We start from the raw sequence: 23964 nt of genomic DNA on the forward strand, positions 1-23964 counted from the left end.
AAATAAAACTGGCCAATAAAATTGAATGGAAAGTCCTAAATAGACAGAAATGCATATAGCAATAATATATGAAAATGGTGACATCTCAAATACAAGGATGAAAAAAGGTGCTCTCAATACATGTTTTGGCTAGTAAACTAAAAATAAAATCCTAAGCCTCCCAGCTGACTGAGTGGACCCTATCTTGGCCAAGGGGACCCCTGAGAAACCTGAAACACTGAGTTCTTGGCTGTGATGGGATGAGAGTGAGACAGCAAGGTGGGAGGGGGTCTCCAAAGAAACTCCAGCCAGCGTGTGCACTGGGAGGAATGCACACCAGGGCAGAGCCTGGGTAAGTTCCTGCCATTTGAAGCAGGGAGGAGCCTGGCTCCTTCTTTTCCTACATGGAACCTGGGATCCCAATGACCGAGCAGGAAGTGCTCTAGCAGAGGGACACTGTCCTGGTGAAAGTCCCTGTTTCCCCCTTTTTACCCAATAAAACCCTGTCTTACTCACCATTTAAATTGTGAGCCTGAATTTTCATGGCTGTGGGACAAAGAACCCCATTTTTAGCTGAACTAAGGAAAAGTCCTGCAACATTTTTGGCACCCAATGTGGGGCTCAAGAGGTGGTGAGTGAAATGGGGACTCAAAACCTCTCACTGTTGCTTCTAAGTCTTTTCATCCTTGGACTTCTGAGGGTGGGGGAAACTATGCCCACACCCTCCGTCACTCCCGGAGATTTTCATGGTCTTTTCCTTCCTTTTTCAGGACCGACGGGCGAGCAGCAGCTCCACACCACTCTCCCCTCCCTGTCAGGGCTGGGACACGTGGTCCAAGGGTCCCACACAGCCAGCTGGCTGTGGTTTCCACCACACACCACCAGAGGCTTCCCCTTCCCCAGCCAAGGGGCTTTACTCCATCAACAGTAATTAAGCTTTTCTCCTGGTGAAGGAACCAGTTGCATAAAATAAGAGGTTCTTCCCCAGGCATTTTTTTTTAACTGTTTTTTCTTCCCCTTATCAACCCCACAGCAGTTAACCTTTAAAGTTTTTATTTTCCTCGTAGATGTTTTCACTAGGCTAGGTCCTCCAGCTGTCACTGCTTGTACTCTCTAAAGCTTTGGTTGTGAAAAAGGATCTTGTGGGGATTGCATTTTCTTCTGCCTGTCTGTGTGTGTGTATTGCTTCTGTCTGTCTGTGTGTGTATTGTGTGTAATATCTTTAAAAAGAGCTCTAATTAATTTGGCCTAAAGAAAGACAAGCACTTGGATCAAGTGTTTTTTAAAGGGAAGGTAAAAGCTGTGGTACCTTTCAGTTCACATGACTTTAATCTTTGAGAAGTAAAAACAGCCCTAAAGACTATTAGTAAAATGCAGGTCAGATGCAAAGTTTGCTAAGTGTTTTGAGGTTACAAACTGCTTTTTGGGTTTTGAGAACTATTTGACTTGCTGGCTTCACAACTTGTAAGGCCTGGGGACATATGGAACTAACCACACTCTTAACTAAGAAGGCAAACCTGGCTGCAGTTAGTACACAATTAAAGGAACTTACCAAGTTTTACCTTAAAGTTAAAAATTTCTAGGAGTTATCATTATAACATGTAATTGAGACTGCTGAAAATAGATTTACATGCAAGGTATGTAAAAACAGTGAAATGTGTTTTTTAGTAAAAGGTTATAAGAAGGCATGGAAGTGTAAACTTTTGCCTAGAGCTTAAGGATTGTTTTAAACTAGATAGGAAAAAGTTGAAGGTTCAAAGAAGTGGTGGAAGAATTGTCAAAATTAGTCTTGCAGAAGAGGTTCTCTATGTGAACATATTGACTAAATTTGGAAGGGTATTATATGGTTTTTCTGTAAATTGAGCATTAAAATAAAAGCATAACAAGGTACTCTCAAAATGCTAATCTGCTCTTTGGCAAAATTTATAAAGGGTTATAAAAGGTTTTGCCTCTTTCAAATTTCTGAGTCATCTTTCTGGCAAAATAAATAACATATGGTCATCTGGAATTTTATTTCATAATATCAACTGCTTTAAACATATTTATAAGGCTTCCCCAAATCAAACTTAAGTTTCAAAATTGTCTTCCCTGGCACCTGGATTTTTGAATACATCAGAGGGCCCCTGAAGTATCCAGAAAAGAGAGGTAAACAAGATTATTTGACATGTTTAGGAATGTGGGATTGTCAAAATGATGCTCAATCTTCTTCAGGTTATGTCTTGGTGAATAATGCTAATATATGTTCCACAATTGTATGGGATTTCCAAAATTCTAATGTCTAAGTATATGCTGTGAATCATAATTAAGGTTGTTATGTTATCGTAAACCATGGAGATAACCAAACTTCTCTGTCAATCTTGTTTCTTACTGTAACTACCCTAGATATTTTGCTATTCACAGACAATTGTTGTCTTGTTTTAATCTTTTTCAAAGCTGGTTTATAATGAACTATAGGACTTTAACAGGTGCTCTCAAATACAGGCTTCTGATAACTTTAGAGACTGTTAACATTGGAATGAAGCAATATGTACAGGACTCACAAAGAGCTGAAATGTTCATGAATATCAAGCAAAACCGGAGTTAACTAAATGGACTGAACTCAGGAAGCTGCAGCAAACCTTTTTTACTTTTGCTTGGTACATTGCTGATCCTTGTTTGGTTTTCCAGTGTCAAGGAAACTTATTTTGAACTATTTACAGCCTTTAATAATTAAGTAAGGTATACACTCCTGTGATCAAAATTTGGAGCATATTTGTTTCTCTCTGCCTGATTCCTCTAGAATTTGGAAACTATATCTGTGAATATTCTTATGGCAATATAGTTGTTTGTGTCACTGCAATAAGAATCCATTTTTCTTTTGCAACAGGACACAATTGGAGAAACTGGTAATTTTATCAAGGCTTTGACTGGAAGGGTATGCTTCCCTTAAACGAGTCAATCTTGATATGCAGAGCCAATAAAAGCCCAGTGGGGAAAGTAGCCTCATACCCTTGTCTACACAGTTCCTGTACAGGGTTCCTGACCTGTGGTCAGTAAAGAATGTCACTTTCTAACAGATCTAGGAGCTCCAAGTTTATTATGGGACCTTAAGAGGAGAGGATTACCTAACTCACAGGTATTTGAGGATAAACCCATGGTTAGGCTTGGCTTTAAAAGGTCTTATCTGAGATTCCTTGTGGAACAGACTTCCATCAAAGACAATCCAAAAGGCCTATGTAGAAATAGTTATTCTTGCTACACTTTACGCAAATAATCAGACCAATTATAAGACTAAAGTCTATTTTGCAAACCACTCAGGCCCACGATGATTTTTTTTTTTAACAAACATGAGGACTGCAGAGAGAGAGAAATCTTGTTTCAAAACTTATCATATATTTGTTATTAAATTCTATATTCACTAGTTGTTTTAAAGTTTTTGCCTACATTTTAGACTAACCCTGCTTGTTCCTGTGAATCAACTAGAAATCTTCTGCTGCAGCTCAGAAAGAACAAAAGGGATGGGTAATATAGAAATCTGGATCAATATTCTAGTTCTGAGCAATTATCCTGCAAATCCTGCCAGGTGATGGAATAAATAGGGAATACATAGAATGCCCATCACCCAGAGGTTTCCTTCTGGGGAAAGTAGGACCAAGAAAACTAACCAAAGCCAAGCACCATGCACCCAAATCCTAACAAGCATAACTGTAGCCACCAGTTATCTGGATGTATCAAAAGACATCCTTTTCTCTCCCTTGTTGGAGAAGGACTCAGTTCCACAGTTTCATTTTAGCATTTGGCTTATGATAAGGAGTCCATGCAACCCCCTGAGACATATTTTTGTCCCAAACTTTATTCTAAGCTTCGGGTCAAAGCTCTAGGAAGGAAAACTGGATCTGAGGGATCCAGAGGCAAATGACAACAGAGGTTAAAAGGCACAGCACAGGTGAGCCTGGCTGATTCCTGCCGATTAAGCCAACCCCAAGCTTCCTGTTTTATGAATAAAGGCCACGTTAATATCCGTGGTATAAATGAGGTCTAGGGAACTCCAAGGCTACTGACAGTAGGGGGGATAGAGGCATAGGTGAGAGCAGATAATTCCTATTCTCTAGGCCCTCCCTGTGTCATGGGTGCAAGCTGCTTTTACACTCATGGCAGGACCTACCAAGGTCACCGGGACTCAGGGATGCAAGGATGGAAGAGAGAAAGGGGACACTCTTCCTTCTCTTACTCACTTACCCTGGGTATCTGCTAGGAAGAGAAGGAAATGAGGGACACCTGTTCCCCTCTTTCTAGTAGGGTAGCCATTCATCTTCAGTCTGTACCCCTTTCAAATGCATCCTGAACCACTGGGACTCCTTTGAAAAAACACCTTCTTTTTTCCTTTTTCCTCCTCGATTCTCTCTTCATCAATAGGTAATTGTGTCTCTGTACTATGAGACACTCCCCTCAGATGCATCCTCCAACCTGGAAAAAGTTAATTTCCAAAACCTTAAACTGGTTGGTTTAGGATTGGGCTCACTGGAAGGGAACCCAGAAGCCCAACATCTGACAAAAGGGTAAAGATTTTTTTACCAGTCAGGATTTTGGCCTCCCTCACCCTATGCAAACTGGTAAAAGGCCTCATAATTTTTGAGCTGTCCTTACCTCCCGCTTGTTTCGATTTGATACATGTTTTCTAGTAACCCAGTTTTTCTGTTCTTGCTTTCAGGCCATCAGACTCCAAATGGTCATGCAGCTGGAGTCTCTGACAATGGTCCCTTTTGCTGAGACCACTTAGATAGGCCTCTGAGGGAGCTCTGACTGCCGTTTCCCCTGTCAGCGCCCCCTGTCAGCAGGAAGCGGTTTAGATCGGTCTTCATCCTTATCTTTAATCTAGCAGCAGTTAGATATACTTCTTTAGAGGGGGGAATGAGACAGCCAGGTGGGAGGGGGCCCACAGAGAAACTCCAGCCAGCCTGTGCACTGGGAGAAATGAGCATCAGGGTGGAGTCTTGGGAAGTTCACGCTGTTTGCAGCAGGGAGGAGCCTGGCCCCTCCTCTCCTTGTGTGGAAACTGGGATTTGAACAACTGAGCAGGAAGCACTCTAGCAGAGTGACTTCAGCCTTGTGGGAGTCCCTGTTTCCCCCTTTTCTTATTTTTTACCCAATAAAACCCTGTGTTACATTTAAATTATCTGTGAGTCTGAATTTTCATGGCCGTGGGACAAAGAACCCTGTTTTTAGCTGAACTAAGGAAAAGTCCTGCAACAAGAGATCGGACACATCTCATTATACACCCTCCTTTTTGGAGTTTAGACACAACAACTGACCAGCATTAATGTTAGAATAGAGATCATAAGACTAACAAAACAGACTCTTTGTGACACTGAGATACCAAATTAAAAACGGGACCTAAGGCCATGCCAGGCAAGGGTGAAATCACACACACTTACAGGTCGCTTTGACCCAATGTATTGGTTCACAGCCTTCCTTATCTTAAAAATTCCTTTCTGCTGACTCTAGATTTTTAGAAAAAGCTTTACTCCTTTAACCAATCGCAAATTAAAGAATCTCTGAACTCACCTATGACCTGTAAGTCCCCACTTCAAGATATCTCACCTTTTGGGGCCAAACCAATATATAATTTCTGTGTGTTGATTTATGACTTTGTCTGTAACTTCCGCTTCACTAAAATGTATAAAACAGAGTTATGACCTAACTGCCTTGGGACCACTTAGTTAAGGCTTCTTGGGTTTGATACATAAGGCTGGTCTTGATCTCTGTTCTCTTTTATCCTGCAACACAGATCCTCTGTGACCAGGACTTGGGCTCTATTACTAATTACATGGCTTAGGTGCACAGAAGAAAGAGTCTGAAATAATTTGACTTTTAAAATATCACATGTACTTGATAAATATAAAATATATACAATTATGATGTATCAATAAAAAATAGCAAAAGGTTTTCTACAAGCTACTGTCACTCATATTGGCTCATAATAGACTTGTTTAAAATATTTTACAGAGCTTGGATTTTTCATTAACAGAATGGACATTTGAAAAGAAATTTGGATCTATATCTTATGTCACTTACCACTACAAATTCTAAACCAATCAATTACTTCACTGTGAAACATAAAACATATAAGTACCAGACGAAATGAGAGAATCATAATTTGACTTAATGAAGAACTTCCTCACTATGACTCAAAATCCAGATGCTATAGATTGAGAGATTTGATCCATTGAGAGATTTGAATACATAAAAACTTACTTGTGGCAAAAGACATCATATGTGAAGTCATAAGAACAATAAACTGAGGGAAAATTCACAACTCATATTACAAAGGACTAAGTGCCCTAGTAAATGAAGAATGCCTACAAAACAGTAAGAAAGGTGAAAACACAAGAAAAAAATGGACAAATGATGTGAACATTCACAGTTCACAGAAAAGGAAATCCAAATGGGGCTAAATACATGAAAGAATGCTTATTATCATTCATGTAATCAGAAATGCAAATTAAGATATATAATATATACTTGTATATAAACATAGTATATACTGTATACTATATATAACCTATATATTTTATTATATAATTATGTTAGATTAATTATTATGTTAATTGTCAACTGCTACTCCATTTCTTAGAATAAAACCAAAGTGAGTAGTTGGAAAGAAAGATTAGGTTTATGTCATTATGCATTTTTCCTCTTAGACCTGTGCAATTGTTCTTTTAATGAGGCTATAATTTCCCTCCTAATAGCCTAAGGTTTATGCTGAACTCCAACCTAGATATCAACCAGATATGATTTTACAGGCAATAGTCTGTGGGGTTCTGAAGTGGCTACTGCCCTTTCATAGAGATAAAAATCATGGAGGAGACTATGTTTTGGGGAAAGGCAGCAGAAAAGCAAGACCTGTCAAGGGAGGAGGTAGGATGGGATGAAGGAGGGAACAATCCTTAGGTTTTTAGGTGCAAATAAGACTTGAGGAGTGGTCTTGATCTCTCTTCTCTTTTATCCTGCAACACAGATCCTCTGTGACCAGGACTTGGGCTCTATTACTAATTACACGGCTTAGGTGCACAGAAGAAAGTGTCTGAAATACTTTGACTTTTAAAATATCACATGTACTTGGTAAATATAAAATATATACAATTATTATGTATCAATAAAAAGTTGCCAAAAAAGCAAGCATTACCAGCACATTTCCACCTAGAAAAAAAAATGCTGTGTTCTTTTTTTTTTTTTTTTTTTAAACGTACACTAAAGGAACACAGCAGGTTCCCTTACAATCAGCTCCAGGCCCCTTGTCACAAGGAATGGCTCTCCATCAGCAGCCGGCAGGGAGCCAAAACTTGCATGGAGGGGCAAGCAATAAAATAAAAATCACATTTTCAGGATTTCTTTCCTCTGCTACTGTGGGTCATATTTGATTAATGGACTGCATTTATTTTAAAGGTGTGATTGCACACACGTTACCAATACTGTGCCACTGTGCACTTGGCAGAGGCAGAAAGCTCATTACAAATTCGGAACCACAGTGAAATGTTAGTACATCATTAATATGCGTAGGTGTAGATATCTGTCTGTTGTTTTATAATGCTATTTCATTTATATAGTGCCAGTACTTGACGGATGTAAGAGACTTCATTCCCAGCTAGAGAGATTCCTAAATAAAACTAGCAAGTTATTGCAGAAGTAATCAGACAGAGTGAAGGAGTTCAGGTTCTTGTGTCTCTCTCTATATAAGACCAGGTTTTGAGTTTTGTTTCAAATGTCTCTCTATGTGGACTAGGTTAACTTATTCCTTTCTTTCCTCACTGACAGCTCCAGTGTCAATGAGTCCTACTACACTGGAATATATCAAACTGCAAATATACCTGTTTTTACTTTTCTTTCTTTTTCTTCCTTTAATTTTGTTTAATGTAAAAATACAGTTTGCTGCTTTTTTTTTGTTGGTTCCACCAGCTAGAAAGTAGTCTCCAGGAAATAAAACCTCATAGTGTGTGGAGTCAAGCTGCCTGTGCCCATTTCTATGTAAACAAATGTGCAACCCTGAGTGGGGGATGGTCTAGGATGAGACTGGGTGTGCCTACCTGCCAGTATGAAATGGGACATTCAGAGTCAGATTTAAGTATCTTTAAGTCACCAGTTCACTACCCTACTTACAGCCATCTTGAGCAAGAAAAATTCAACTCCTTAGGATGGTATGCAGAGTATTCAAAGCCCCATCCATCTCTTCATCAACAATCTTACATCTTCACTCTAGCCGGAAAAAGCTCCCTACTGCTTTCGAAAGCACTGTATTGGTCTATGCCGTTTCCCTCTTTTTTGCTATTGCACATGTTCCTTCTTCTATCTAGAATGTAATTCTTCCCCTTCCTGCTTGGTGACTTCTTCCCATGGACTTGCTCTTGTGTGAAATCTCTTGTGAGTCCCTATGTAGACGTGCCCTCTCTCTCTTTCCTATTTCTATTGTGTCTTGATATATAATCTATTATAATACCACATACATCATACAATAAATTCTTTATACATCTCTAACCCTACTAGAATGTGGTTGCCTACAAGGGAGAAAGTGTGTTTGTCATCACTGTATCTCCAATGCCTAGCACAATGCCTGGAAATAATGGACCCTAAATGAACATGTATCGCACGTGTACCCTGTGAACTTGGAAGGTATTTAAGGTAGGATGAGGGAATCCATGAGAATAGCCCATATCAGAAATATTGGATTGTGTATTTGAGATTATGAGAGGACTCTTTCCTTGATTAGAGGCATTCTTAAATAACACCTTGAAGTTACTGCATTAAAACCTATTGCTGTCAATTCCTCCCTTTCTTCAAGACAAGTAGGAGTAGCTCTTCTAGGAATGATTGCAGCAATTCTACTGCTTTGATAAGGAGTCTTAAGATGGGGGTCTCTGGGCAGAAGTTATACACACCTGAAGACTCACTGGTTATACTGAGTTTCTAAATATGGTTGTCTTATCTTATGTTTTTAAAAAAATTAGTTGTCAATATCAAAAATCTGCAGATTTCACATAATGATCTTAAGCTCCAGCTTCTTTTAAAGCAAAACAAACAAACAAAAAACCCATGAAAAACACAAAAACAAAACAAAACACCAAAAAAACCAACAGTAGACATACATTGTCCCATGGTGAAAATCAGATGGAGGACATACACCATCCGTGTGCCACAGACTCTCATCTCTCCCATTTCATCTGCCTATTCCATTATGTTAAATGCTACAAATCCCTTGAAATTGGATAGGGATTTAGTCCATGTGAATTTATGGACATTTTTGAAAGGAAAATTTTCTTGTTTTCATTATAATTTCAAAGAAGAGTATGAATCCAAAAAAGGTTAAAACTAACTAATTTGGATAATATCACACAGGAGACAGCAATTGAGCCAAGAGAAGAGTACTAACTTAAAACAGACAGCAAGTCATTGACTGGGCTTCCATCATTTGTCATATTCTCACGGTTGGGTGGGAAATCAAGTGGGTTTTGAGTAATGGATAAAGCTTTGTTGTTGCCACATTGTTAATGTAGCTAACACACATGCACCCACATGCACACACATATGTATACACGGAAGCACACCCCGAAAGTATAATCCAGAAATAGTATAGCACATTTGGAAATGCCACTCTAGCTATTTTAAATATGAAAACTTCTAAGTGAATACTTGAGTTATATTCCACAGAATAATTGCAGAACTCAAGTCCATTGTAGATATTTATCCAAATTTTAAATTAATCTGGAACTTTGTGAATTTGGTCTTAATTTTAGACATTTGGAAAATCTTGCTATTAGTTGCATATAATTTAATTCCATTCATCCTGCTACTTTCATTATTATTAAAGTCTTTTAAATATGAGGCTAGAATTGGCTTACTGTGCTTACTGTTGCTTTATAGCTTAACACAAGAGTCTTTGTTTTCTCCCTATTTAATAAGTTACATAGTATATATTACTAGTCTACTGGTATACTAGTGAATGTATTACACTGTCTAAACATATTTAAGAGGCAGTGTAATATATTATTAATTTGAAATCCATTTGATTTTCCCAACTTTGATTTAAGTTGCATGATTCAGGAAGGACATTTTTATTCTTTGTTTTGTGAAAGTTCTACTTACTAGAGATTTTTTAGATATCTATGATTGAATTAAAACACAGTAATGACTTAGCTGGAGACTTAAAACTCACTTTTTCTTCTTATCTATAGGTAGACAAATCCTAAGTAATAGATATAAAGGATAAATTCTATATGAAAGAAAAGATAATTTTTGTTTAGTAACTTGTTTCATTATTATAAAATCTTTACTGCTGCAAAATGTTTTCTTAAAGCAGGAATCATTCATGCCAAAGATTAAGCTCATATTCTTATCAATTTATAAATAATCCATGTGATCTTGTCATTATGCCATTTGCATTAGTTGAAAAAAATAAGAATTACATTAAAAATTCATTAAGTTTAAAAATAATCGTAGGAGGCTTGAATTCAGAAGTTTAGGAAATCTTAAGAATAAAAGGGAGGATTGTCAACTAGTTGCTTAACCTGCAATATTTCACTTGAATTTAGACACTTAGAGTGAATCAAAAAATCAAAGGATATTTATTGCTCACTTGAAGTTACATAAAATAACAGCGTGACTTGGATATGATATCGCTTGAGTTTTCTTGGAGATATATAATTTAGTTTTATGGCAAATTTGGTAATGGAAGTTGTCAAGTGACATTGAAGCAGTCTATTAATTCCTATTAAGTTTACTGTGCTGATCTCAGAAGATGAGGCTATTATTATGTATGCATAATAATACATATTTCTTGGAGACTGTTGTAGAAATTATTATCACATCTTCAAGAAAGTTGTTACCCTGTCTAATACTGTCCCCAATTAAATCATTATTAAATTGAGGCATATTCTACTACCCAAATCCATAACAGCTTTTTTGCTTTTAAATGTTGACTAATAAAATAGAAGGTGGTTGGCCAAAAGCCACCTAATGGAACACCTGAGAATTTGTGGCAATGTCTGCTCTTGACTCATGCATACAATTTAATATATTTCATCATATCTAAAACTTCATCAATTATGTCATACTAATATTTTATGTTCCATTAAGAAATAAAAAGTGCTGCCAATTAAACTAAGACACACCATTGATTATAAGACATCTCTGATTTCAAAGACATTAAATATAAAAAGAAAGTATGTCTTAAAATGATAAGAAAAGATATTAGCTCTTCTCAAACTTTTCACTCCAGGTGGCCACTCACTTTCCCTCCAGTGTTTTGGGAAATAGTAATGTAGCCATGTCTATTGAGTACAACTTGTGATACGTGTGTGTGTGTGTGTGTGTGTGTACTGGTAACATGGAAAAAGCTTAATATGACCTTCATGTTAGCCTTTTAGTAACATGTCAGTTACTAAAAGATGTGTTTCTTAGTCTGAGTCTTCTTTAGAAATGTGCTAATTAAAATTAGGTCTATGTAACAGGATGTTCTGAAGAGTAGACTTTTTCTTTCTCTTTCATCAGTTTAAGTCTTGCTTGTTCAGAGACTGCAGATCTGCTTCAGGGGATCTCTATATGCCCAGAGCCCTTGGACCCTTGGATTTAACTATATCAACATGGTTGTATAAGAAGCTGTTCTGTAGAGGCATGCTGCATCTCTAAATGGTGAAAAATGGTACCAAAAGTGTTGCATACACACACACATGAGCATGTGCATGCACACACATGGAATTCAGTATCTAATTATTTAGGGAACTTTAGTTATGTGTCAGCCACTGTTTATACATTTTATAAACATTTACTTTATAAGGTTTAATCTTAATCTTATAATATTTACCACAATCTATGAGGTGGTTACTAGTACGTCTATTTTACCAAAAAGCACACTGAAGCTTAATGAGATTGTTACTTGTTCACACGATACAATTAGCAACCGGTGAAGGCAAGATTCAAACCCAGCTTTGTCATATTCCAAAGCCAGTTGTTGTTGTTTTGACCATTATGATGACTCTCCCAAACAAATTACACTTTTTAAAACATTTACCTTATTCCATTGTTTTATTCCATCTTGTACCAAAAAAGCCTTCAGGTGATAAACCCCCTGCCCCACACATCCTACGCCAAATTATATAGCGATGGAGGAGAGGAAAGAAACAAGTAGAGGGGAAGATGATGATTTCTATGTTTAAGTGTTTTTTTCTTAAACAATAAACTAGAAATCAGGAGTTTATGGTTTGATTTTTCTTCTCCTGTTATCATTTTGGTTAATTGAATTATTCAGTATATCCTGGTATGAATGGTTCTTTGTAACAGTTTAGATAAGCAAGAATTCATCCTTTTTCTGTGTATTCTTTACCTCCTTTGAATTAAATAAATGGTTTCATTTGGAAAAAAGCAGGATGAAAGCTTAGGCCTATTGCCATTGATTCCTCAGTGTTTTCCTAATGTTTTTATTTTATAGAGTGGGCAATCAGGAATACAGGAATCTTTCTGAAGCACAATGGATAGTATTGGATGTGGGGAAAATTGGTGCTACTAAATAATATAGTTTGTAAAATGTCATGGTACAGAATTTGGATGATTCCAGTTCTAAAAAGTTGATGACAATATGCTCATCCTTTTAATGGAAAAATTACTAGGAGGTTCCTGGCTACATAATCCAACATACTGCAGAAGACTTGCTGACTTACGCTTTGTGACAGGCCAGTGAGAAAAATACACAAACTCATACACCAATGTTGCAAATCAATTCTGCGGCAAAGTGGAAATAACTCTTGTACCAATAAGCAGTAAGACCTAGAGGGGAGAAATCCTTTTCTGAATTTCCAACTTGCAGACAGAAAGAGAAGCCATCAATCATGCTAGAGAGCTTCCATTTCAGGGCCATTGTTCTTAAAGACAAACCAAATGAAATCAGACAAGACCAGAATATGCAAAGGCCTTTGGATTTTTCCAGTCTTGGTGCAGGAAGGAAGCAGAGAAAAACAAGACTTTCTCTCCTTTTCTTCTAGATGTGAAATGTGAAGTCCAGCAAAAGCATGCACATAGTCTCAGTTTATTGTCAAATGACCAATTAATCACTCCACAAATGGCTATTAATCATACACATTAATGAGATATTCTCTTTGCTCTGGCAAATACAGATTCTGTGGCAATCCTTTCTCCTTGGTACCGAAAGCAAGCTAAAAGCATGTAGAACTCAATTAATCTTGAAGCAGCATGGGGTGTTTGAAATTGCTCACAGTTTGAAAAGAAGCAAACAGCAAAGACATTTAAACTTGTCCATATTTCACTGTGTAAATTCAGAAGCACTTAATCATTCCCTACACATTCTTTTGTTCCCTTTCTTCCTCTGTCATGTTATAACTGTGTTTTAAGTCTTCCCATTTCTTTCCCCAACCTTGTACACTGAAACACAAACCGAAAAGAGTGGGGCTTCTAATAAATTGGATTCTCAGTCTTCTTGGATAGACCATGAATAGAAACAATGTCTGTGTGTGTATGTGTATACACACACACACACATATATATATATATTATATATGATATTAGAGCAAAAGGCCTATATCTAGTTGCATAAATTATGAATTGAATGCCATTTCTTACTAAGCAACACCTAGGTTAGGATTCTACTTCCAGACAGAGCTGGATTGACCTAGGGAAGAAATTCTATGAAGTTTTTCCCAGTTAAACTGTCTGCAAAGGATTCAATTTTTATAATTGAATGCTTTAGTTTATTCAACAGATGTTCATTAGATACTTATTCTGTGCCAGGCCCTGTGCTAGGTGCTAAAGATGCAAATATGAATCAGTTTTATTTCTTCCCTTTATGGAGCTTACAGTCTAGTGATAGAAATGAGCTGTTGTTACATATGCATACGTTGTGCACATGTACCCTAAAACTTAAAGAAAAAAAAGAGCTGTTGTTTCCCTAGGAGAGTAAAAGCAGAGGGAAGAACCAGTGTGAGGAATGAAAGCACAAAAGAGCAGAATATATATGGGATGTAAGTAATAAAGGAAGGCTAGACATCGGTTGCCCTGGGGAGGAGGCTGAGCATGTGTAGGGATTGATGTTGGGAAGGAAGGTTGAGGCCAGATTGTCAAGGGCATTGTACACACTTCTAAATACACTGGGGAGCTACCAGAAGTTTTTGTCCAGGGAACTGTCATGATTTGTGTCAGGACTTTGAGCCTAAGACCATGCCTGGAAAAGACATTTGTTGGTCTTAGAATGAGAGTGAGTGGATTTGGCACGGGGAAGGTACATGAATAACTGCACCCATGACAGCTGATCGCAATACATTTGTTTCATTAATAGCTCCAATTCTTCACCCTTCCCTGGAGCAACACCTTGTTCACCATGAAGTTTTACACTGTCCCCGCTCTGTGGGCAGGGCTCTTTCCTGCTGGGTTTGACTACATGATCTATCGACAGATTGTCACTTCTGATTCATTCTAAAATAAAGTTGCAAACCTAATTGCCTCCTTTTGCATCCTCAGCTTGCATTTGGATATCAAAATCTGATCTGCAGCCCCTGTTTTAGTGGGCTCTGAGGGAAGAGAAGGGAACCCTCGTCCACAGTACTAGAGGACACTGGGAAATAGATATTTCAAATCTCGTTCCAGGTCTCCAATAGCAATGGCTGTCACTCGTTTTGCTGTTTAATAGTCTAAGAGCAAATATATTTTCCTGCCACAAAAAAATTGATTTTCTTCTCAAGACCACTTAGTCTCAAGAATACTGAAGTTTATATGTTATTCCTTCCAAAATAAAAAGCTTGGCCTTGTTATACGAACAACTCTCTTCTGGGTTAAATTTACAAAATCTCTCACTTTAACTGAACGTTTTTTTCTGTGAGCCACATGGGACAAATATAACTAATTAAAAATAATTTCTGTGATTGTTAAAAAATTTCCTAAGCAGTGCTTAGTGGCAGAAGCCTGTTCAGTGAGGAGTTTCAGTTCATCCCTCAATCTTTCTTTATTTCTTCTTCCCTCCCTTTTTAAGTACAAAAGGAACACATGCAAAGGGCTTTCCTGTATTTTTAAAACCAACTTTAAAACTATAGAAGATATTATTTATTTATTTATTTATTTTTATATTTTAAGTTCTAGGGTACATGTGCACAACGTGCAGGTTTGTTACATATGTATACATGTGCCATGTTGGTGTGCTGCACCCATTAACTCATCATTTACATTAGGTATATCTCCTAATGCTATCCCTCCCCCCTCCCCCCACCCCTCAATAGGCCCTGGTGTGTGATGTTCCCCTTCCTGTGTCCAAGTGTTCTCATTGTTCAATTCCCACCTATGAATGAGAACATGCAGTGTTTGGTTTTTTGTCCTTGCAATAGTTTGCTGAGAAAGATGTTCTTAATGTGCTGGAGAGTTAAAATTAAATTTCAAAATAGTTTGCATTATATGATTTCAAATATAGATTGATTCATTAACATACATACAAGATAGATAAAAAGATGATTGATTCATAGATATTCCAAAAATGTTCATAACAGTTATTTCTGAGTGACTGTATTTATCTCCTTCTTTCTTATTATATTTTCTTTTTTTTACTTTTAAGTTCAGGGGTACAAGTGTAGATTTGTTATTAAATTAGTTCAGCCATTGTGGAAGACAGTGTAGTAATTCCTCAAAGACCTAAAAACATAAATATCATTTGACCCAGCAATCCCATTACTGGGTATATACCCAAAGGAATATGTCATTCTATGATAAAGACACATGCATGCATATGTTCATTGCAACACTGTTCACAATAGCAAAGACATGGAATCAACCGAAAGGCTTATCAACAATAGACTGGATAAAGAAAATGTGGTACATATACACCGTAGAAAACTATACAGCCATAAAAGAGAACAAGATCATGTCCTTTGCAGAGACTTCGATGGAGCTGGAGGCCATTATCCTTAGCAAACTAACAAAGGAACAGAAAACAAAATACCACATGTTCTCACTTATAAGAACATGTGGTATTTTATAAGTGGGAGCTAAATGATGAGAACACATGGGCACATAGTGGGGAACAACACACACAGGCCTTTCAGAGGGTGGAGGGTGAGAGGAGGGAGAGAATGAAGAAAAATAACTAATGGGTACTAGGCTTAATACCCGGGTGTTGAAATAACCTGTACAGCAAATGACAGATGTGTTTTCATTTCACTTGGGTAAATACCAAAGAGTAGAATTGTTGGGTCATATGGTAAATGTATGTCAACTTTATAAGCAACTGCCTAGTTGTTTCCCAAAGTGGTTGTATAGTTTTACATTCCTATCAGCAGTATATGAGCATTGCAGTTGTTCCACAGCCTCACTAACATTTGATAATTTAATCTGTTTAATGTTAGCCCTTCTAGAAATTGTGTACCAGTATCTAATTGTGGGTTTAATTTGAATTTTCCTAATGAATAATGGTGTCGAACATATGTTCAGACCCTTATTTGCAATTTATATACTTTCTTTGGTGAAATATCTGTTCAAATTTTTTTTTTTGCCCATTTTTAAGTCAGGTTATTTGTCGTATTCTTGAGTTTAGTAGTTTTTGCATATTTTGGATACAATCAAAGATTTTCTTTATCAAATACATATTTTGTTAATATTGTTTCAGTTTGTGTCTTGCCATTTTATTTAGTAACAGTGTCTTTTAGAGAACAAAATTTACTTTTGATAAAATCCAATTTTTTTTACACTTTGTGATTTTTGTGTCTTACGAAACCTTTATCTAACATAAGATTGTACACATATCTTATTTTTTTCAGATGTTTTATAGTTTCATGTTTAATCTTTAGGTTTATAATCTATTTTGAATTAACTTTTGTATATGGTGTGTATGGCTTCTGCATGGGAGATTGTCTCTTTTTCCCCAGTTATTAATTTATTTAATCATTTATTTATATAATTATGTCATGGATATTTATTAGGATATTTATAAATAGCATGGATATTTATTTTGTACTTTGAGTTATAATACTACTTTATTTATTTTCTTGCACAAATTGTTCCAGCTTTAGCCACTGGGAGCTTCTTCAGTTGGCTCCAATGACCTCTTGACATACCCCCATCAATGTGTTTTTTAATTCTGTTTTGTGTTTTGAAAACTTCCTTACTGTCTGACACTATGAGATGTTCAAGGCTCATCTTGTATATTTCCTGTCCCAGTCCTAGAACCAGCCATTTTGCCAAGAACACAGTCTTTTTTAAAATGGGAAAACAGTATTAGAAACTGTTTTAAAATGGGAAAACAAGGTCAAGGTGCTAGGTGTGCTTGTTGCTGCTAGGGTACTATTTCTTTTAGATCCTCTCAGCTAACAGAACAAAAATACATGTGTGTATTAACATGTGTATATATACAGACATATATATATATTTCTACATGTAAAAATCTGTACATTAAGTTAAACATGATGTTTTTCTCATGTCTCCAACTCAAATTCACTAGCACATGGATCATTTTAGCCTCCTTCTCTGCTAATTACCATTATATAAGTGAATAACCTGGGTTCCACCATCTATCATCCATTTACTTGGTTAATTCCAGTATATATAATGAGAATTTTTAACCTAGACCTCTAAGGGAAACAACTTTATCAACTAGAGTACATTAATGTACAGTTTTTGTTGCCTTCAATCTTACAAACTACATTCATTTCCAAAGTTACTTAGGTCAGCATCTAGTCTCCCAACTTTGTTTCATAAAGTTAGATTTTCTTGTCATAGTTTTCATTATTTCTTGAGATCCTCTTCCTAAAATTTTTTTAAAAAATTGATTTACATTAATGTTCACTCTGTGCTGGAACATACTGTAGATTCTGACTAACATATAATGTTATGTATCTACTATTACAGTGCCATACAGACTAATTTCACCAAGCTAAAAATTATCTGTGCTTCGTATATTTATTCCTCTCCTTGTTTTTCCTTTCACTTGGCAACCAGTGATCTTTTTGTTCTCTGTAGTTTTGGCTTTTTCAGAACGTCATATAATTGGATCATAGAGTAAGTAGCCATGTCAGACTGGCTTCTTTCAATTCTCAATGTGCATTTATGGTTCTTTCATGACTTTTTGAACCTTGATAGCTCATTTCTTTTTATCATTGAATGAATTCCATTTTATGGATGTGCCACAGTTTATCTATTCACCTATCGAAGAACATTTTGGTAGAAATTATAAATAAAACTGTAATAAGTATCTATGTGCAGGTTTTTGTGTAGATATGTTTTCAACTCATTTGGGTAAATACTTAGGAGCATGATTGCTGCTTAGTATGGTGAGACTAAATTTAGCTTTGTCTTCCAAAGTGGCTGTACTATTTTGTATTCTCACGAGCAATGAATAAGAATTTCTGTGGCTTCACATCCTTGTAAGAATTTAGTATTGGCAGTTTTTAAAATCTTTCTTAGCCATTTTAATAAGTACGTAGTAGTATCTCATTGTTTCAATTTGCAATTCCCTAATGACATAACATGTGGGGCTTCTTTTCATACATTTATTTGCCATCTGTATATCTTCTTTAATGAAATGTCTGTTAACATCTTTTGCCCATTTTTTAATTGGATTGTTTTCTGATTGTTTAGTTTTAAGAATTATTTGTATATTTTGGAAACAAGCCTTTTATCAGATATGAATTTTGCTAATATTTTCTCCTAGTCTGTGGCTAGTTTTTTCTCTTAAAAGTGTTTTTTGAAAAACTGAAATTTTTAATTTTAATAAAATCCAATTTTTCATGGTTTGTGCCTTTAATGTATCTAAAAAGTTATCATCACTGAACCTAAGATCACCTGGATTTTCTCCTGTTATTTTCTAAAAGTTTTGTAGTTTTCTGCTTTTAGGTCTGCAATCCATTTTTGAATGATGTTTTTGTGAAAAGTGTAAGGTTTGTGCCTGGATTCATTATTTTGCATTTAATTGTTCCATTATCATTTATTGAAGAGCCTATTTTTGTATAAATCTCTTTCTGGAATTTTTATTCTGTTTTATTGATCTATGTGTTCTTTTGCCCCCCACTACCATGCTGTCTTGACTACCATAGCTTTATACTAAGTCTGGAAGTTGGGTAGTGCCAGTTCTTCAACTTTGGTTCTTTTTCTTCAGTATTGTGTTGACTCATCTGGGTTTTTGGCTTTCTGTATATACATGTTAGAAACAGCCTATCAATATTCACAAAATCACTTTCTGGAATTTTTATTGAGTTTTTTTGACTCTACAGATCAAGTGGGGAAGAATTGACATTTAAATAATAATGGGTCTTCTAATCCATGAGCATGACATTTATATTAATTTTTAAAAATCTTTTATTTCCTATGTCAGAGTTTTATAGTTTTTCATATATAGATCTTTTACATATCTTGTTAGATTTATCCCTAAGTCATTCTTATTTTGTTAGACTTATATGTTTTTAAAAATTAAATCAGAGCTTTAGACAAAGTAGTTGATATTTTGTCAATGAAATAGGGGGAACAAGGTTTGTGTCAAGGAAAGAGTTGACCTAAGTAGTACAGAGGACTGTCCACAGTGTCTAAAGCTAAAGGCATGACATGAAATAATGACTGAAGAGTCAGAAGCAAAGAAAATGTCTATGTGGAAGTGGATCCAATTATGACCTTTTATGTCTAAACTTATTTACATCTACCCTCACCAGCCAGTCATTATGTAAATTCATGATAAAGCAGTAAGGACCTATGTGTCTGCTTGAAGTATGCTTGGGCTCTATTAGTCAGTTGGGGTAATCAATAAAAATGGGATAATTATTCTCCATTCTCTGTAGATCATATAGTTGCCCTTTTACATCAGTTGAACACATTTTGTGAAACATAACCTTTGAAACTCACACGTAATCATCATATGTTTCATATACTATCTTTTCTTTCTTTAGAGTTTCTGACATCTTCCTACTTTAGGGAAAACTTTCTGGGCCTGTTGAAAGAGGAGAACATTTCCTTTGACCTCATTTCTTTCACAATATTCTATTCAATCACCTCTTTGCAATAAACATATTTTTTTCTCCACATACGCATATCCTTATGGAAAGTTGATTTCACTATCTGGGTCTTTGGCTGCCACTACTGCTTATCATGTATTGTCAGATGTTAAAAAGCAGGTCCAGGAGAGAAATGCACTGAAACAGACATTGAATAAATCCTTTAGATGCAATAATGATTGCCCACAGAGGAGCTAGGCCAATAGGCTTGATGCCAATAAGATGATGCCAATTTCAGCATAGCAACATCAACTTCAATACAATGTTATTGATATAAGCATTTTAGTATTACAGTAGTATCATTGGCACCAGTGGAGAATGGACCTGATAAAGGCTATTTGACGCCCGGCTGGCTCAGAGTCATTCATAGCTTTCCTTTGGGGGTTAGGACATGTGGCACACTCTGCATATGGGAGATAAAGGGGCACTTGAACAGTACTTGATGGGATCCAGATAGATTCTATGCCATTTGTTGCTAGCAAGTATTTTTTAAAAATTACTTCTTTTTAATTTAATAAAAATAGTGGGGCATAATATGTAATGGAAAGACTGAATATCTTCTATCATTTTAATCTGCATATGCTTTCTAGATTAGGAAACCCGAGAAGTTTTGGAATAAAGAGTATTATTCCATGCATTGCTTCTAATAGGTTAACTCTTTTTCCACGTGGATGGCAAGATCCCAGCTTTGGCTTGATTCCTAGACTTTACCTATTTTCCTTCCACACAGCATGGGGACACTTGCACTTCATGTGCAGGCTCAATCACCTCTCAAACTATTGGTAAGATCCTAAAAGTTTCAGATTTCCAAGTAAATGGGATAGATACAGAGGATCTGGGACTGAAGCAAAAGAAAAAACAAAGAAAAGCAACCTAGTTGTGGATAACACAACCTTTCATCAAAAAGGCCATGTTAGTGGAGAGCTTTGAGCCATTGGGCAGGTATATTCTTCATAAGAAATGTTTCCCTTATGGTCTTCATTCATTAGGATGATGGATTCAAGAGTTATTGCCATTTTTCTCAAGGCCTAAATTTTTATCTATCTAATGTTGTCACCTGAGAGAATTCCCCTAACTACGTACTTGTTCTGATCTAGAAGTAGTGCCTGGTCATGAATATTACCACCAAGCATCACTTGACTTTTCAAGGACAACACCCTGGTTAAAAACACCCTTAACAATATTTTGGTCTTGGACTACCATCTATTATTTTTTCCCGTGTACTGTGAATATCACACTTTATTTGTTCCACATACTTGATTCAACTTCACTCTATTTAAATTTACGGTCTACATATATTTTAGAGAGATTTCTTTGTTTCCATAACTAGAGATTTAATGGTGAGCATAAAAGACATGATTTTGGCGTTTTACTGCCAGCTGAGATGTAGAAAGATGCAAAGGACCTTCACCCTGATGAAACCCACATGCAAGAAACCCACAGACAGAAATAAAAAACAATATTTTCTATGGGGCTAGCAAAGAGCAAGGAACAAAGGAAGCCCTGATAAACTGAATTCCAGAAGGAAATGAAAGTTTCACAGGTGAGCAGAAAACCATGACAGCTTCTATACCATAAGGCAGTTTCCTAATTTGAGTGGAGAGAATGGAAGAATTAGGTTGACATATGCACACAGACATTGCAGTAATGAAAAGAAATCAGCTGATTCTTAGACAATAATTTGGGCTGGGGACAGGTTGGAATCCAAAAGAGACAGAGATCCCAAAAACAAGTGGTTTGACCTGAAAAAATTTTCCCACCACAAATTTTGCCAGGAAAGTGGCAGTGGCAGAAGATCTGGAAATCAGAGAGAAGTTGCAAACTTCTGCACATTCGGGAGGCTTGAATTCTAAGGCTCTGCTTAAGTTGAATAAAAGGGGAATTAAAAGTCTTTGAAACTATAACCCGACTTTGTTCTAGCTTAATATCGACAAGGTCAAATAGTTAATCTTGCTATGGGAGATTGGAAGTTGGGCTAATCACAGATAAGCTCAGTCTAATGAAAGCTAAGGTTCAGTTTCAGATCAACTTAATTCTGGCCATAGAGAAATGGTTTATAATCTCTGAAAAATAAGAAAATAAAAGGAAATAATTATACGTCAGTCTTCACTGTTTCATGTCCTAAAAAGTACATGTGAGTTTCTATATGTGAGAAAGCACGAAAATGTGATATATAATCAAAAGTAAATACACTCAATAGAAGACTGACAGAGGGCCCAGTTAGCAGAAGTAACTTAACACAACTATTATAAAAATGCAAAAGGATTTACAGAAAAAAGGAGATGTAATGATGAAAATACGGAATATTTCAGGAGAGAGATAGAAGTTTTCAAAAATAATTAAATGAAAAGTTACAAATAAAAAATAAGATATCTACCATCAACATTTTATGGGGTGGAATTAACATTAAATTGAATAGGAGGAAAAAAGCATCAGTAAATCTTAGGATACATCACTTAAAAAGTAACTAGAATAGAGAGAAAACACTGAAAATAAACACAGGCAAACAAATCTTTAGGGCTATTATAAGCTATGAAGTCCCAGAAAGAAAGGAAAAAGAGACTAGGGCAAAACATTACTTGAAGAAATAATGACTGAAAAATTTTCCAAGTATGATGAAAGTAATAATGTATAAATCCAATAACTCAATGCATCTTAATCAGGATAAATATCAAGGAAACCACATTGAGAGATGTCATAATTAAATTATTAAAAACCAAAATAAAGGAAAATCTCAAAAGCAATTGGAGAAAAAAGACACAAAAAGGAACTTCTTATACACTGCTGGTAAGATAGTAAAATAGTTCAAAGACTTTGAAAACTGTGTGAGACTTTCTTATAAAGTTAAACATATGCTTATTTTACAAACGCTTAAGTCTATTCCTAAGTATTTACCCATTAGAAATAGGTTCAGTCCCAGATCAACTGAATTCCAGCCATGGAGAAATTGCTTATAATCTCTGAAAAATAAACAAAATAAAACCAAATAATTACATCTCAGTCTTCACTGTTCTATGTCCTAAAAAACTTATGTCCATTAAAAGACTTGTATAGTGTTTAAAGCAGCCTTAGTCATAACAGTAAAAAACAAAAAACAACTTAAATGTACATTAACAGAAGATTAAACAAACAAATTGTGATAGATTCACCCAATGAATTCATCAGTACCAAGAACAAACTACTGATAAACACAACATGAGTAAATCCCACGGACATATGTTGAATGAAAAAAGCCAGACCAAAAAAAAATGCATACTATGTGATTCTATTGATAAAAATTCAAGAACAGGAGAAGCTAATCTATGGCGATAGAAATCAGAGTGAGAATCGACCCTGGAGGTTAGCGGGGTTGACTAATGGGGAGTGTAGAAGTACTTTTTGGGTTGATGGAAATGTTCTATACCCTGATTAGAATGCCCATAGTATCTTGAACTGTATGCCTATGAAGATGTACACTTTCTATAGGTTAATTAATTATTCCTCAGTGTAAAGAAGATGGAGTCTCTTTCCACATGGAGCTTTCATATCAGTGTGGAAGAAAGAGCATCATCACACAATTATACAAATCCATAGATATAAACCATGATGAATACTAGAAAGAGCAAGACAAAGACTTAAGGATTGCAGAGAAGCTAATCTACATCTGCGGAATCAGGGAGGGCTTTTGAAACGGAATAACATTTGAACTGGGTGCTGAAGGTTGAATAGATGATAACTAGGAGAGTGTTGCAGGTAAGGGGAGGAAAGAGCATTCTGGGCAGAAGGGATCAACTGGCTGTCCAAGAGACCTGAGCAAAGGAAGGCATATGACAAATTCAGAAAGAGAGGTAATGTGATGGGTCAGCATACAGTGAAAAGTAAGAAAGGTGGCGAGTAAGGCTAATCATGCATGGCACATTTAAGATCATATTAAAGATACTACTTTTTATCCTAAGGATATCAGTAAATGACTCAAGTGTCTTACATAGGAAGCTGGAATGATCAACTGCAT

General features: G+C 36.1%; 1 long non-coding RNA gene across 1 annotated transcript in view, besides 1 other annotated feature; it reads right to left on the reverse strand.

Moving 5' to 3' along the window:
• LINC02994 (long intergenic non-protein coding RNA 2994) overlaps positions 1-23964 on the reverse strand; it is a 331088-nt gene that overhangs the window by 21105 nt on the left and 286019 nt on the right. Inside the window, exon 8 of the long non-coding RNA NR_125909.1 lies at positions 22869-22933. This is a non-coding gene — a long non-coding RNA (long intergenic non-protein coding RNA 2994). The remainder of the gene's footprint in view (positions 1-22868; positions 22934-23964) is intronic.
• Positions 6837-7545: an enhancer, noted in NCBI's record as "NANOG hESC enhancer chr4:84917176-84917884 (GRCh37/hg19 assembly coordinates)". NCBI's record gives its function as "activates a minimal SCP1, AML or CMV promoter by ChIP-STARR-seq in primed H9 embryonic stem cells {active_cell/tissue: H9 hESC(primed)}" and the evidence as "EXISTENCE:reporter gene assay evidence [ECO:0000049][PMID:30033119]".

The sequence above is a fragment of the Homo sapiens genome, chromosome 4 (genome assembly GCF_000001405.40).
Source record: "Homo sapiens chromosome 4, GRCh38.p14 Primary Assembly".
Classification (NCBI taxonomy): domain Eukaryota; kingdom Metazoa; phylum Chordata; class Mammalia; order Primates; family Hominidae; genus Homo; species Homo sapiens.